General features: G+C 40.6%; 2 annotated features.

The window, feature by feature from the left end:
* Positions 1,658 to 2,515: an enhancer, noted in NCBI's record as "H3K27ac hESC enhancer chr11:92764815-92765672 (GRCh37/hg19 assembly coordinates)". NCBI's record gives its function as "activates a minimal SCP1, AML or CMV promoter by ChIP-STARR-seq in naive H9 embryonic stem cells {active_cell/tissue: H9 hESC(naive)}" and the evidence as "EXISTENCE:reporter gene assay evidence [ECO:0000049][PMID:30033119]".
* Positions 13,627 to 13,921: an enhancer, noted in NCBI's record as "tiled region #15019; HepG2 Activating non-DNase unmatched - State 24:Quies". NCBI's record gives its function as "activates a minimal TATA promoter and a strong SV40 promoter by Sharpr-MPRA in HepG2 cells {active_cell/tissue: HepG2}" and the evidence as "EXISTENCE:reporter gene assay evidence [ECO:0000049][PMID:27701403]".

Below are 15,974 nucleotides of genomic sequence, written 5' to 3'. Positions count from 1 at the left end.
TGAAGCCTGTAGATCCTACCCCAGTAGTTTTCAGCCCACAGTGCAGAAACTGGAAAGCATTTGCTAAGTTGCATCTTTAACCCTGTGTTTCCCTGAACCCACCACTTCACTCCCTAGAGCACATCCTAGGAAAGCTCTGGTCCTCTTTAGAATTCAGAGGTAGAATTACTGTTGGCAAGGCCCAGAGATATTCTGGATTAATATTTTATCTGGCCTATAGTTAATAACAATATATTGTTTACTGAAAAATTGCTAAGAGGGTAGAATTTTAAGTGTTCTCACAACAAAACATAAGTGTGTGGGGTAATGCATATGTTAATTAACTTGATTAGCTATTTCACCATGTATACATATTATCAAGACATCATGTACACCATAAATATATACAATTTATATTTGTCAATTAAAAAAATTTAAAAATAATCTCTGGAAAGTTTAATAAAAGCTCCCAATTCACAGAGAAAAAATAACATTAATCCCTTAAATTTCTTTCTTTATGCTTGAATGGGCTAGGAGGGACAAGGGTTTTTCTATAGCAGTCCTGTTCACCAGGTCTGAGGAAAAGGGTAAAGCTGACTTTTATGCTTTGGCTCCACTAAACTTATCCATTCATCCAATAGAAATATTTGATGAGTGGCTATCCTGTGTCAAGCACTGCATTAGGAACATTAAAATGAATAATGCTCTCTTCTTGGCCCTCTTCACTGGTCATGGCTCAAACACACCAGTGGCTACAGACATCCCTTAAAAAGTTACTGCTCTTCCCTGAATGGTGGCTCAATCCCTCCAAGCTCATCTTCCCTCCATCTGCTGAGCTGTCATCACACATCACTTCTCCAGAATCCCTGATCTGCTTGCTTTGTAAGTCATCTTTTCTGGTTTGATTTATATCTTAGACTGTTATCTTCGCTCTGTCCCAGAACCCCACAGAAGGCTGCATCTGGTGACCATCCCCCAACTCCATGCCCCATTGCCACAGGCAAGTTGGACTCAAACCTGGGTCATGGCAGGTTTAGTTAGCAGCCTCCTCCAGGCCTTCACCACTTGGGGAGTGAGAAAGGGCAAACCTCAGTGGATCTGTCAACTTGCAGGGCCATCTTTCACACTAGCCCATTCCACAGCCAGCACAGCTCAAAGGTCTTCTCACACACCCCAAGAGACCCTCAAGAGTAGAGCTGGTGGGCTCTCTGAATTTTCCTTGTGAAATAATCTACACAAATGCACAGTGATTTAATGCTGGCATGAATGGTATTCCAGGACCTGAATGGGATAGAAAGCCTGTGGCATCCTGCTTGCCTTCAGCCAGGTCGTCTGATGGATGACAAGCCTATGCCTGCTTCAAAGCCAACCTGGCCTGTGCTCTCCACATCCCACAGCTTGGCAGCTTAACTAACTAATGCTTCAAACAGCTGGGCCCCTGGCTTCCGGGTGACTTCTGCTGTGAGAAAGTTGAAGCAGCATATGTTCATGTCAGAATGCAGGAGCCCCTCACAGGAGCTCAAATTGTGACTGTGTAGCACAGCAATGAACTTTTCTTTTCTGTCATTTGCCCACCTCATCAAAAATCAGAGTGTATTCCTTGCCCTATCTTCCTTTTAGAAAAAAAAAATGAGAGTGTTATTCCCCACACTTGAGGAGACCTGGGTGTTTGTATTAAGAGAAAATATATAATGTAGCCAGAAGACCTCTGGACTGCAAGATGAAAACTAAAATATATTGAGCACCAACTATTTTCCAGTACTTTGCTCTTCATCATAACCCCAAAAGTGACTTTTATCTCCATTTTACCAATAAAGAAACTGAGACTCAGAGAAATTAAGTAACTTGGCCACTGCCGTATGGTTAATAAGCAGCAAGGTCAGGATTTGCACCCAGGTCTACCTTCTCCAGGCCAGGTTGGCTTTGAAGCAGACATAGGCTTGTCATCCATCAGATGACCTGGCTGAAGGCAAGCAGGGTGCCACAGGCTTTCTATCCCATTCATGTCCTGGGATACCATCCACACCAGCATTAAATCACTGTGCATTTGTATAGATTATTTCACAAGGAAAATTCAGAGAGCCTACCAGCTCTACTCTTGAGGGTCTCTTGGGGTGTGTGAGAAGGCCTTTGAGCTGTGCTGGCTGTGGAATGAGCCAGTGTGAGAGATGGCCTTGCATGTTGGCAGATCCACTGAGGTTTGCCCTTTCTCACTCCCTAGTCCTTGAGAAGGCTACCATCTGCCTTCTACTCCAGCAGCCTCTTTAGAGCAGTCCCATTCCCACCCTTTCCATGCTGACCCCAGGAACATCAGTCTCAAATGGGAATACCTGACCTCACGGAACTTGTGATAATCACATGTGAAGGTGTATGGGAAGGCATTTTGAAAACTCCTAATCCCTCAGGCCGCAACTGCACACATGTGGTGAGAGTGGTTGACTTCAGGGAATTTGCAAGTGCCCTGAGTAACTGGAACCTCACGTCACAATTTGGAATAGAAAGGCAAGCTCCCCCGTGGAGTCGACTGTGAATTAGTCGAAGTGAGGAATGCTTTGGTTTCTGAGAACCTGAGGGTTTAGATGTTCCCCACTCCCGCCCACCCTGGTATAGCTCTGTATGGGAACAGGAAGTTGTGACTCAGAGTCCTTCTTTTCTAAGCTCCTGAGCTAAGAAGTTGGGAAATTGCTGGTGAGATCCAGGTATGAGTAGGAGCCTTGCGGGCAGTGTGGGCTTTTTCTCCTTTTTGCGAAAGACAGAAAGGGGGAAGAGAGGGCCCTGTCATCTTTGGGAAAGAGAGTAGCAGTAGCAGCAGTGAGAGCCAGTGGTACTGACAAAAGCAGTGGGCAAAACCAGGAGGAGCCCCTAGCAATTACAGTGGTCCCAGTGAGGGGACGCCAGAATTAGGGCAGCCAGTACTGCCTTCCTGGAGCAGCTACAGAGAGTGTGAGAGTGGGGTGGACCGATGAGCCAATGGGGACTCACAGAAGGAGGCCTCTGAGACACAGCAGCATCGGGGCAGTAGTTCAGGGCAAGGGGAGACGAATGACTGATGGTTCAGATTGGACCATCCAAATTAACCGCAGAGAAGACACTCTGTTCATCAGGGTTGGTTAGGAGTCACTTGTACGTTAACTTGGGGAAACGGGATCGTTTTAACTTCACCAAGATTCACTTTATCTCTATAATTCATGTCTTCCACATGAAAGAAGTTAACCTAATTCTGGGGATAGGTAGGGTAACAGTCAATTTGGATACAAGCATATGTCATTAAAACAAAACAGCATCCCCATATTTTAAAAACAAGAATAACCTTTTAAAAAAATTTACTTATAGCAAGTTTACTGTATATTCATTGAAGATAATTTAAAGATGCAGACAAGTAAAAAGAAGGTGAAAGTACCCATTTTCCTTTGACCCAGAGATAGTCAATCCCTTGGTGGAAACTTTGGTGGAATTACCCTTCCAGATGTTTTTATACCCATATATTTTCTACAAATAAGATCATACTATTCCTGATGAACTGTTATGTCTTTTATTCACTTGAAATAGGTTTTTAAAAATCTCAATAACAACTCATCTTCAATATAATTTTCAATGCTAGAATCATTACTATTATACAATATTGATGTAACTTAATGATTCTTCTATTGGTTGAATATTTATATAGCTGACAATTGAATTTTTTTAAAGTTTGGGGCATATTTAAAATAGACCTAAAATATAAAGAATAGTTCGAAAATATCCATGTGAAAGTTGCATTTTGACTACTATTAAAATATGATAAGTCTTGTATTTAAATCTTTGTGCTTACCTTTAATTATATCACTAAGATAAATTCTTCTAATTCTTCTAAGAATTTATCCTAGCCATCCACAGTCAATTCTGAAATACCCTGTTATTTACATGGGTCAGCCCTATTCAGTGTGTGAAGGGACTGCCTGAGAGCATGAATACTAGGAGGCTAGTATCACCAGGGGCCATCTTGGTAGGTGGCTACCACATATGACAGGGACATTTTTTAAGTCGGGGTCAGTTGTCTTGTAGAGTACCACATGTTCTGGATTTCTGTGATTATTTTCTCCTAACTAGATTCAGTGAATGTTGTGTATTTCCCATTGTATTACATCAAGATGTGCATAATTTCAGTTCATTCTGTTTCTGGTCATGCTAAGATTGGATACTTAGTTGAGGGGGCATTGTAAGCACACTAGGTCTTTGGTTCACCATAACTTTCTTGACTGTTTCTTTGGCTGAAGCATCAAATTCACATGCCAATGCCAGGCCTGATTTGTCCACAGAAATATAAAAAGTGTCCTAATGCATTTTTCACATTACCAACCTTTTGGCAACAACCTGCTCTGTGTGTGCATGTGTCTGTGTGTTTGATGTTGATATTCACAGGCATTATGAATTGAAGAAGGCAAATTTAATAGAGAAGAGGTAAAGGGGTACACCATGGAATGAACTCTCTGATAACAGAAACTGTCTTATTTTTCTTTGCCTTCCGACTGTGTTATATAATGTTAGACAAATAATAGGCACTTAGCAAATGTGTGTTGAATAAATACAAGAACAAACAAAACAGGGAAGAATCTGGGAGAAGTAGAAAGACACTTTCCCGTTTATAGAAATCTAGAAACCAGAATATTACCTTTCACCAAAATAAATAGTCCCTGGAAACCTCATCCACTTCCATTCCCGTATTAGGATGGTTTTAGGGGCTCTCATCCCTATTCTCTTCAGGTCCTGTCACCACAAAGGGTGTGGGTCCTGAGAATACAAATGTCCAGTCTCCAGGGTTCCTTAGGCAGCACATTGCATTCTAAACGCACCTTTTACTTTCTCTATCATGCTTATAAATAGCTCATGTGACGTCTTGAGCCTTATTCAACCACTCAGTCACTCCAGGAAGAAAGTAAACTACAGAGTAATGATATTTTCCTAATGGCAAGAGCACATTAAATGGAATTGCCTGAGCTAATTTGAGTACACTTCTGTGTTCAGAATTATGCTTTCACATTCAATTTCATTTTCAATTTGTTTTCTTCGTGCTGTCCTGATTCATCAGACCGCCCTCTGAGTTGCATGGAACTGTGGTAATGTGTCCCTTGGTGAATAAAATAATTAAGACAAGGAGACTTATTTTATAACTGCCTTTTTATTATAAAAAAGAGGACATGCGAAAGCATGGGTACCAAACAATTAGATGCCCCCCTCTTCTAGCCTTAGTGAACTCCCTGTTACCCAGGTGAACTGGGTCAGTGGAGAATGACCTGCTCAGACATTTTCTTTCTCTGATTCATATATATAAATGCAAGAACTGAGCAGCCCAGAGCATAGGAGAATAAAGAAAGGAAAAGAAAGGAGGGTGGTAGAGAGATTAAACTGAGAGCCTACTATGCCTTGAAACAAGGCCAGGCATTGTCCCACAAGCTACCTCACCTGAGAGGCAGATTTGGACTGAAGAACATCAGTGGCTTTCCCAAGGCCACAGGCAATCAGGACACGGCGGAGGTGGAAGTCTAGAGCAACATCTTTTCACCACCGAAGACAGTGCTCGGAACACCACACTACCATAACAGTGGGCCTCTCATCTTAAGCTGGGATAAAAAGCCCTTCACCTCCAACCGTTTGAGGCTTATCTTCCACAGCTCCACTTGCCAATACATTCATACACATCCTTAATTGCAGTCACAGTAGACTATTCTCCAAACAAACCACACATTTTAAAAAGGCATCTAATTATGTTTGACAGGTAATATGGTATATTAGTCTGTTCTCCCATTGCTATAAACAGCTACCTGAGACTGGGAAATTTATGAAGAAAAGAGATTTCATTGACTCACAGTTCCACAGGCTTAACAGGAAGCATGACTGGGAGACCTCAGGAAACTTACAATTGTGATGGACAGTAAGCACCTTCTTCACATGGTAGCAGGAGAGAGATGGGGGAAGTGCCACACACTTTTAAACCATCAGATCTTGTGAGAACTCACTCACTATCATGAGAACAGAAAGGGGGAAATCCACCCACATGATCCAATCACCTCCGATCAGGCCCCTTCTCCAATTCAACGTGAGATTTGGGCAGGGGCACAATCCAAACCACATTATATGGCTACATTCAAGAGGCATATAGTGCACATTCTCCTGTCCACTCTTGTACCCCACCTCCCAGATGTCTTCTTCTTCTGAGGAAACACATTTATAAGTTTCTTGTGTCTTTTCAGCAACATTTTGTGCATACATTACTTATTAGTCAGGGTTCTTCAGAGAAACATAACCAATAGGATGGATGGGTGGATGGACAGATAGATACAGAGATAAAGAGGACCTTCATTATGGGAATTGGCTCATGCAATTATGGAGCCAAGAAGTCCTGCCATATGACATCTGCAAGATGGAAAACCAGGATGTATCTTGGAGACCATTTGTCCCAAGTGTCAAGAGATGAGGGCTGCCTGACTCACATCAGATGAGTGACGAATATGTCTTGTCTTTATTTTTCTCTTGACTTACCTTTATTTTATTTGAGATGAGGTCTTGGTATGTTTTCCAGGCTGGAGTGCAGCAGTTATTTTCATAGGCGCAATCATGTGCATTACAGCTTCAAACTTCTGGTCTCAAGCGATCCTCCCACTTCAGTCTCCTGAGTAGCTGGGACTACAGGTGCCCACAACTGCACCTGGCCATCTTTTCTTTATAAGCCACTGTAATTTGGGGATAAGCTTATTGCCACACCATGGCCTATTCTATCCTGACTATTACAGAAATCACTATGTTCAATTTGGTGAGCATTATTTGGCTAAATAATAGTTTCTTATTTACTATTTTAATAATATTGTTGCATGTATATAACTGATGGAATATACAGGTTACTATGATGTTTTAAAACATGATATAAGCAGTATTATACTTTAATATAATTGTACAAGTTCCTCCATTAACATGAGTTTTGGGGGACTTGTCCATGTTGATACATGTAGGCTTAAGTTGACTTATTTAAAATATACTACAATTGATTCAACAAAAAAGACAAAAGAAAGAAAAGATGGAAAACCAGGGAAACTGGTGTCATTCATCCTGAGTGCAAAGGCCTAAGAACCAGGGGAGCTGATGGGGCAACTCAGTCTGAGGTCAAAAGCCTGAGAAATCAGAGAGACACTGGTGTAAGCTGCAGAGTCTAAAGGCCCAAGAACCTGGAGTTCTGATGTCTGAGGACAGGAGAATATGGATGCCTCAGCAGCAGAAGAGAGAGCAAATTTTCCCTTCCTCTGCCTTTTTGTTCTATTCAAGCCCTCAACAGATTGGATGATACCCTGCACTGGTGAGGGCAGATCTTCCTTAATCTGTTGATTCACATGCTTAATTCTCCAGGAACACCATCACAGACACACTCAAAATAATGCTTTGCCGGCTATCTGGGTACCCCTTAACCCAGACAAGTTGACATCTAAAATTAACCATCACAGTTACAAAATATTTATGTTTGTTCTATTTTGTTCACTTTATTTACACAAATAGTATCTTCCATACTGTCGTTCTGTACCTTCTGCTTTTCCTGAATCATATATCTTAGAGATAATTTCATATCCAATCATAAGGTGGCTTCTCATTCTTTCGTGGTGCCATTTATTCTGGTGCAGGACTGCATCAAAGTCTATTTTTCCAGTTCCCTGTGACATACACTTAAGTTATTTCCAGTATTTTGCTCTCAAAAACAGTGCCGTCATCATTAACTTAGCACAATTTGCGCCAGGGTGAGTGTACCTCTAGGACAACTTCCTAAAAGAGGAATTGCTAGAGTAAATGTAGGTGCCTTTGTAATCATGAGAAATTTGCCAAATTATCCTGAGTAAGGGTTCATACCAATTTACACTCCAATCAGCAGCACAGGAAAGGGTTTGTTTTCAACATGAGTGTCCATACAATATTATTTACATTTTAAAATTATTGACAATCAGATAGGTAAAAATTCTGACCATATATTTCAGGCTACTATGCCTTTGCTTTTGCAGTTCCCTCTGTCTCATACACCCTTCCCCCTCTGAAGGGTGACCTTTTCTCTACTCTGAGACCTAGCCCAGGGTCATGTCATGATGAGGACATCGCAATTCCTGCAAGCACTCCCATAATATTTTGTCCTTTCTCTATTGTTGTACCTTCCACATTATTTGTTTATGTGTCTATCTCTCCAACTAATTTCTCCAGGGAAGGGTTCTTGACATTCACCTGGTGTCCTTAGCATTTAACCCCAAGCCTAGCATATATGTGTTCGTTTAATAAATTTAAAAAGTGCTTTCATTACATTTAGGTGGGTGGTAAAATTAGCAAACTAGATTTTTGCAGTTTCTCCTTTCCCAATCCCTCTCCTGCACTTTGTCCTCTTTGACACACTTGAGTGGTGCTCTGCCAGATTGGAACCTCTGTAGGTCAGGACCATTCTCTGCTTTGTCACTGAGTCCTCATTCCTTGCAGAGAACAGGGACGTGGTGACTCAGAAAAGATTTTGGAGTTGATCATCAGATCTGACTCTGTACATCCTGGGGATAGCCTGGCTTTGACTTCTGAATGCATATGAGCAAAGTCAAAAAGAACACTGACTCCTCCCTCCTGTCATGTGTGCCAGGCTCTGAGGAAGCTCATCTCACTCAAAACTTAGCTAGAAAGGTGTTATCACTTTAATATTTCAATCGTTGAAAATTTCCCAATTTTCCTTGCAAGTTTGCATTGCTAAAATAAAGGGTTATATTATTGCTAAATAGAACAAACCAGATAATGCTTTTCAATGAAAGCATAGAGCTGATTTATACAGTGAATATGAATTTTGGATTCCTGAGAGCATCTCCTGAACATTCTGAAAAGGAAATGAATGTAAATCTATCACCAACGCTGCCATTTTTCTTGCATATGCAGTGCGTTTTCCTCCTGTCCCACCTCGCAGCTGGGTTAAATGAAGAGGAATGGTAATGTATCACATCTACTTACCTTGATTTCACTGTTACTTAGCATAAGCAATTTATATGAGACTGACACTAATTAATTCCAGCTTCATCTATCATGTACTTCAACATTTAATCTAGTCCCAGGCATGAGATAAAAATATAGTATTCTGAATTCTGGAATCTCCTTACCTTGAGTGATAAAGGAGTTCATAAATCTAAGACAGCACTTTGTTTTGCCTGATACTCCATCAACTACAAGTAGATATTGCCTTCACGAGAGTTCAGGAGAGAGAACCATCAAGACTGATGAGCTCAGACCTAATGTGGAGTGTGTGCAACCATGGCTAGTCTCTCAATTCTTTATGACCCTCAAAATAAGAAGTCTATTCCAAGGAATATATATCAGAAATTCTAGAAGCCCTCACTTTGAGGCACTGCTATTTCTAGTACTTCTTTAGAATGTGTTGTGGATTTTTTTTAAATCCACAGTCTAGACCAAACATATTCTGAGCTATACAGCTTTGGAGAGCCAGCCAAGAGGCCAAGGCCTGTAGTTTCTTCAGTTGCCCTGAATGACACCAATGCCTGCCAGCCTGCCTGCTTTTCCTCCTTCTTGACCCAGAGTCAAGAATTCCTGACCCTCAAATGTAGACTTGGCCCTGCTCCACACACTGGCTAGTAGTCATGTTATGCATGAATGGATGTCTCACCACTGTTCTAAAACTGGAGTCTGCCTTGTTCTTTATGGGCCTATAGCTGTGGACCTGTCATTCTCCCTGACTCGAGGTTATGTGTCCTCAGAAGGTTCTCTTTGTCAGTGCCATCTCCCTCTGCTCCACCTTATGCACTGAGGCTCATCCCCTGCACTTGAAGCTTTTGGATGGGCTTCTGATTCTTGCTGCCATCAACCATATTTCAGCCAACTTTCCTCATCAGCCACTTGGGAGTGAAGATGTCCTGTAAATCTCTGGGACCATGGACACTGGCAGCTTGTCTTGACCTGTCACTTCTCACCATTGTCCCTGAACACCTGGTTCTAGGTGCTGGACGTCCTTCTTCCCTGTCTCATTAATGTAACATCTTCTGCCTCCCTCTGCCCCTCTTTTAGCACTTGTAGACCCAGAGAGTTCATCTGGACCCTGCTCTGTCCCCTTTTCCTGTGGTTAAGCCATTCTTCTCTGGTGATATCATAATAGACAATAGGCCTAGCTAAATGTATACATTTTTTAAAAAGTATCTTATTTACAAAAATAAGAAGATATGCTCAACTTAAAAAAAAAAGAAAAAGAAGTATATCAAGTAAAAAATGAAGACTTCTCCCTCCAAGCACAGTCCATCCCTTTTTCCAAAGGTAAAAATTTAGTAATATACCTTCAGACTTTTTATTATGTATACACATATTATAAATAAATGAACATATATAGGAGATACAATTTTTAGGGGGAAAATAGTACCATTTACTGTATATGATCTTCAAACTGTTTTTGTTTTCATTTAACTCTATATAGTGGACAAAATTCCATGTTAGTATATCAACTTGTGTTATGCTTTTGAACACCTGAGTAGTATTCCATTGCATTTATATACTGTTTTCTATTTACCTTCACTCTGTTAATATGTTCTTAAATTGAATCCAGTTTTTCAGCACTTCACATAATGAGGGGATATAAATTCTTGTACTAAATGGTACAAATATTTCCACAAGTTAAATTTCTAGGTATATACATTTAAAATTTTGATAAATGCTAAGCAAATTATTGTCCAAACACTTTATGAAATTTGCATTTCTACAATAGCAAATGACAATGCTCATATCCTTGCCAACATTGAATGTGATTAATCTTGTATTAGCTTGCCAATTCTGGTGAATGAAAAATAATATCACATTAAGTAGCATTTCTTTGATTTTTAGTTGAGTAGCTTTTCAATGTTTAATAGTCACTTATTTTTTTCTCTGTACATTTTCTGTTTAACTTTTTAAAATGTTTTTATATTATAAAAACTTTTCATAAACTGTAATTTAGATATTATTACTTTTTTGTTATATGTGTTGCAAACATTTTCTCCTAATCTGTTATTCATTTTTTAAAAATTTATTCATAACACATTTTGCTACGTAATGGTTTTAAATTTTTACATAGTCAAATCTGTCAATTTTTTCCTTTAAGGCCTCTCGATGTCATGCCCCACTTAGAAAGGCCTTCCCCACCCTAGGAGTACACAAATGTTCTGTATTTTTTTCTAATACTCTCATAGTTTCATTTTATATGTTTAGTTCTGTAATTCATATTTATGTATGTTATTAGTAAATTATCTTTCACTTTTTCCAAAATAGAGAGACAGATATCCAAGGATTATTTATTGAACACTCTTTTCTTTCCTCACTGATTTGTAATAACAGTTTTTAAATACTAAATTTCCATTGTATATGGAATTGTCCCAATATGTATGGAATATACTGTCTTTGGGCTTGTTTCTGTTCCACTGATCTGCTTGTGTATTACTGCAGTGTGCTTTATGTGAGCCTGGGATTAAATAGCTCATTCTATGTTAAGAAAGCATGGTTAACCTTTATTTTTATTTGTATTGTAAAATAAAATTTAAAGGCTGTCGATTTGGACCGAATTCCTGCACTAGGTCCAACAGACCAAACCAAAATGGAGTCACATATGCTGAAGTTCCATGCCACCAACACTCAGCTGGTTTATCTGAACTTCTGAGAAAATGAGATAGTGCACGATAATACCCAAATCCCCAAACAAGCCAGATTTAGCTGGCATGATAAGGAAGTCCCTTCTGCTTTAACCTTTACAAGGAAAACAACTTTGAAATGATCAATCCGCGTTTTGTTCTCTGTTTCTGCTTTCCTGAGCCTTCTTCTGTCTATAAAGCCAAGCTCCTCTGCTCAGTTCATCAGAAGACCCATTCTATTTTATGGAACGAGATGTTGCCTGATTCTAGAATTGCAAATAAAAGCTAATTAAGATCTTTAAGCTAAATGTGTTGTAACCTTGTTTTTTAACAGTATCATACTGATGAATACAAGTTTAGTACTCTGTGAACATTTTTAAAAGAGAATTTTGGACATTAGTCCATTTGGATATACACTAGCTTTAGTAGAAGCATAAGGAAAAGAGATTATGTGAATCTGAAAATTGAGAACAATTTAAGAGATCCATTCTCCTGATTCCATTCTCTACAGCCCATCAAACGACCCACAAGGGTTGTCTGTTCATCATTCCTTCAGTTTACATTTATTTCATACTTCCTTACTATCTGTTGTATAGACAGTTGTCCCTCAATATACAGAGACGACCGGTATCAGGACCCTGTGTATATCAAAATCCATGCATACTCAAGTCCTGCAGTCGGCCCTGCAGAACCGAGTATAGGAAAAGTGGGCCCTTTGTATGCTTGAGTTTCGCATCCCAAGAATGCTGTATTTTTGATCCACATTTAGTTGAAAAAAATGTATGTATAAGTGGACCCATGCAGTTCAAACCTGTGTTGTTCAAGAGTCAACTGTACTGTATTAAGCACGGGAAAGAAAAAAATAATTAAGACTCAGATGTTGCCCCAGACAACTTGTATCCTCATTATGGGACACAGAAATATAAACAAGCATCAGTTTAAAAAGGTATGGTGAAAGTAAGAACAAGACAGAGTGGTGACCCAAAGTGGGGATAGATAGTCAGGGAAAGAGAGCAGATACATAGCAGGGTCCTAAAGGACAAATACTGGGCTCACCCCATGAAGGAAGGCAGGCTAGGGGATCCAGCAGAGCCAATGCTGACAGAGGCACAGGCTGGGAGTCAGCCTGAAGCTCAGAGGCTCCAGGCAGCAGGGGTAGTGGCTGATGATGCAGGTGGAGAGACAAGCAAAGATGAAATTATGAAGGGCTTTTGAACTTCATAAATGTGAAGAGACAACAGAATGATTTTCACAGGAGGGTGAAATTACCATTTTTACATTTAATAGATTAAATAGCTGTATCGTTTTCCCTTCAAGCTGCATTAATGATTTATCATTTAATGAGCAAGATAATTGATTCACACATACACTGATAGCCTATTACCAGATTTTTACTGGCAATAGGGAAACCAGGTAACAGAGTAAGTATGAACAGAACATTGGGTAATAAAATTTGCTTACAAATAAAACCCCTAGAAAGATTTTCTAAGTTATTAAAATAAAAGAGACTTAATTTCAGGCTACATTTTAAATTCCTTCCAACTTAATCTTTTCCCTGACTGAAATTTAGAGCGGGGGCATCTCTAAATCTTGCCTTTTCAGGGTCTAAAAAAAGGCTTTAGGTCCAGCCAGTTCACAATGACTCACACTTGGTATGGGGATAATTGGCATGCGAAGCAGACCAGGGGCGGCAGTACTGTTTCCTTTTTTTCTTTCTTTTTCTTTTTTGTGGAACAGACAGGGTTTCATTATGTTGCCCAGGCTGTTCTTGAACTCCAGGGTTCGTGATCCTTCTAGAGATGGCAGTACTCTTGAAAAGTGTCTCCAGTCAGAAGGAGAGTGGGGAGAGGGTCCCCACCTAAGCAGCAAGGGTCTGGAGGCCAATGCACTTAGAAAACTATTTTCTTCTCACTGTGCCTCCCAGGATACAACCCACTGCCCTTCTGCATTTCCTTATGGACTAAAAAAGAACATGTGCCTTTCCTTTTGTCTTAAAAATTTTCACCATTTTTAGCCAAGTTTATACTTGAAAGGAGTCCAAGAAACACTCCTGATCTTGTCCTAACATGTAGAACAAAACCCAAATCCAGCTGGAAACCTTCCAGTGATTCATAGGCAGGTGTCATCCATCTCAAGATACTGAAAGCTCATGGGGAGAATGAGAACAAGAAATCTGAGGCTAAATTGAATGGGCAAGTCATTGGGCAGGCTTGCTTTTTCTATTTTTCCTGATAATGGCTCTGCCACTTGTTACAGGACGTGGTTGTTATGGTGACAGGGAGAGGAAGAGCAGGGAGTAGAGAGGGTGAACTATGATGAAAGAGTGAAATGCAGCAAGGTAAAAGAGTTTTGGGTATGTTTGTTTGTACTTATTTAGCTCTGCTTCAGTCTTAAGGCATCCATAGCCTGCTGCCGTAATGAGGCCAAGAAGATCTAGGATTGTTTCCTGTCCTCCTGTGCCTCAGTATCCCTCCAGTGTCCTCAGGCATTGTTGCTAAGTCCATCTCATTGTGTCTGACCAATTTTGTTCGTGTTTAATAATTTTTCTCTCAAAATTTCTGTTATCCTCTGATGCAATTTTGCTTCTCTCATACCACTCTGGTAATCCATCAATCTTTGTCTATTTATGTCTGCTGTGGTTTGAATGTGTCCCCTGAATTTCATGTGCTGGCAATTTAACCCCCAAATTGATATGTTGATAGGAGGTGGGGCCTTTGGGAGGTAATTAGAATTAAAGTTATTAGGATGCCCCCCTCCATGATGGGACTGTTGTCTTTATAAGAGGAAGAGAGACCTGAGCTGGCATGCTGTTACCCTTTCACCATGTGATGCCTTCTGCCACGTTTTGATGCAGCAATAAGGCCCTCATCAGATGCAGTCCTTTGACCATGGACTCTCTAGCCTTCAGAACTGTAGGAAATAAATTTAACTTCTTTATGAATTACCCAGTTTGTGGTATTGTGTTATAGCAATGCAAAACGGACTAAGAAAATTGGTACCAAGAAATGAGATCATTGCTATGACATTGCTATAAAGATACCTGAAAATGTGAAAATGTATAAGCAGTTTCGGAGGTGATAGGTAGAGGCTGGAATAATTTGGAAAGGCAGGCTAGAAAAAGCCTATATTGGCCAGGCATGGTGGCTCACGCCTGTAATCCCAACACTTTGGGAGGCTGAGGCAGGCTGAACTCCTGACACTTGAGGTCAGGAGTTCAAGACCAGCCTGGCCAACATGGTAAATCCCTGTCTCTACTAAAAATACAAAAATTAGCTGGGTATGGTGGCGCATGCCTGTAATCCCAGCTACTCAGGAGGCTGAGGCTGGAGAATCGCTTGAGCCCAGGGGTGGCGGAGGTTGTAGTGAGCCGAGATTGCACCATTGCACTCCAGGCTGGGTGACAGAGGGAGACTCCGTCTCAAAAAAAAAAAAAAAGGAAAAAGCCTATATTGCCATAAACAGGTCATTAAGGGCACTTCTAGTGAGAGCTCAGAAGATGAGAAGACTGACAAAGTCTGGAACTTCTTAAATGTTGGTTAAGTGGTCATAACCAGGATGCTGATAAAAATGCAGACAGTAAAGACCACTTTGATGATGTCTCAGAAATGAAGGCTATCTTACTGGGAACTGGAGTAAATTCATCTTTGTTACACAGTAGCAAAGAACATGGCTGCATCATGTTCATATCCTAGGACTTTGTGAAAGGCTAAACTTATGAGTGACAGAATAACATATCTTGTGGAAGAAATTTCTAAGCAGCAAAGCACTCAGGCTTCTGCATGCTTACTTTTAACTGCTTACAGTGAGCTGCTAGAGAAAAGGGAAACAGAGCAAAAAGATTTAGAAAATTTCCTGGCCATGTGGTGGAGAATGTAAGAGCGTTTTCTGGAGAAGGTATAACCCACAGACAATTTGTTAAGAAACTAGCATGGCTAAAAGGAAGCCAGGTGCTAATCCTAGGACAATGACGGAATGGCCCCAAAGGCATTTCAGATCTTTGAGGTTGGCCCTCTCATCATAGGCTGAGAATGTGAGGGCCTGGAGGGCAGAAAGAGCTCCCTGCTTGCTGTCCTATACTGCCTCAAGTGTCTGCTCCTTGTATGTCTGCTCCCCAAATTCCAGTACAGCACTCAGTCACCTCATCTGTTGCTCAAATGGCCCCAGGTGCAACTCAGCCTGTTCATCAAAAAGGTATAAACTGTAAACCTTGGCAGCGACAAACCATGGCTCAAGCAGGTCCAGAGGTTGCTCATGACACTGCTCCAGAAGGCACCAGACATATGCCTTGGCAGTGGTCCACGTGGTGCTGACTCTGAAGGTATAGAGAGTGCGTGGGCTTTGGGGTCATGGCAACTTTCA

This window comes from Homo sapiens, chromosome 11, assembly GCF_000001405.40.
Source record: "Homo sapiens chromosome 11, GRCh38.p14 Primary Assembly".
NCBI classification, from domain to species: Eukaryota; Metazoa; Chordata; class Mammalia; order Primates; family Hominidae; genus Homo; species Homo sapiens.
This window is presented reverse-complemented; position numbering and strand designations above follow the sequence as displayed.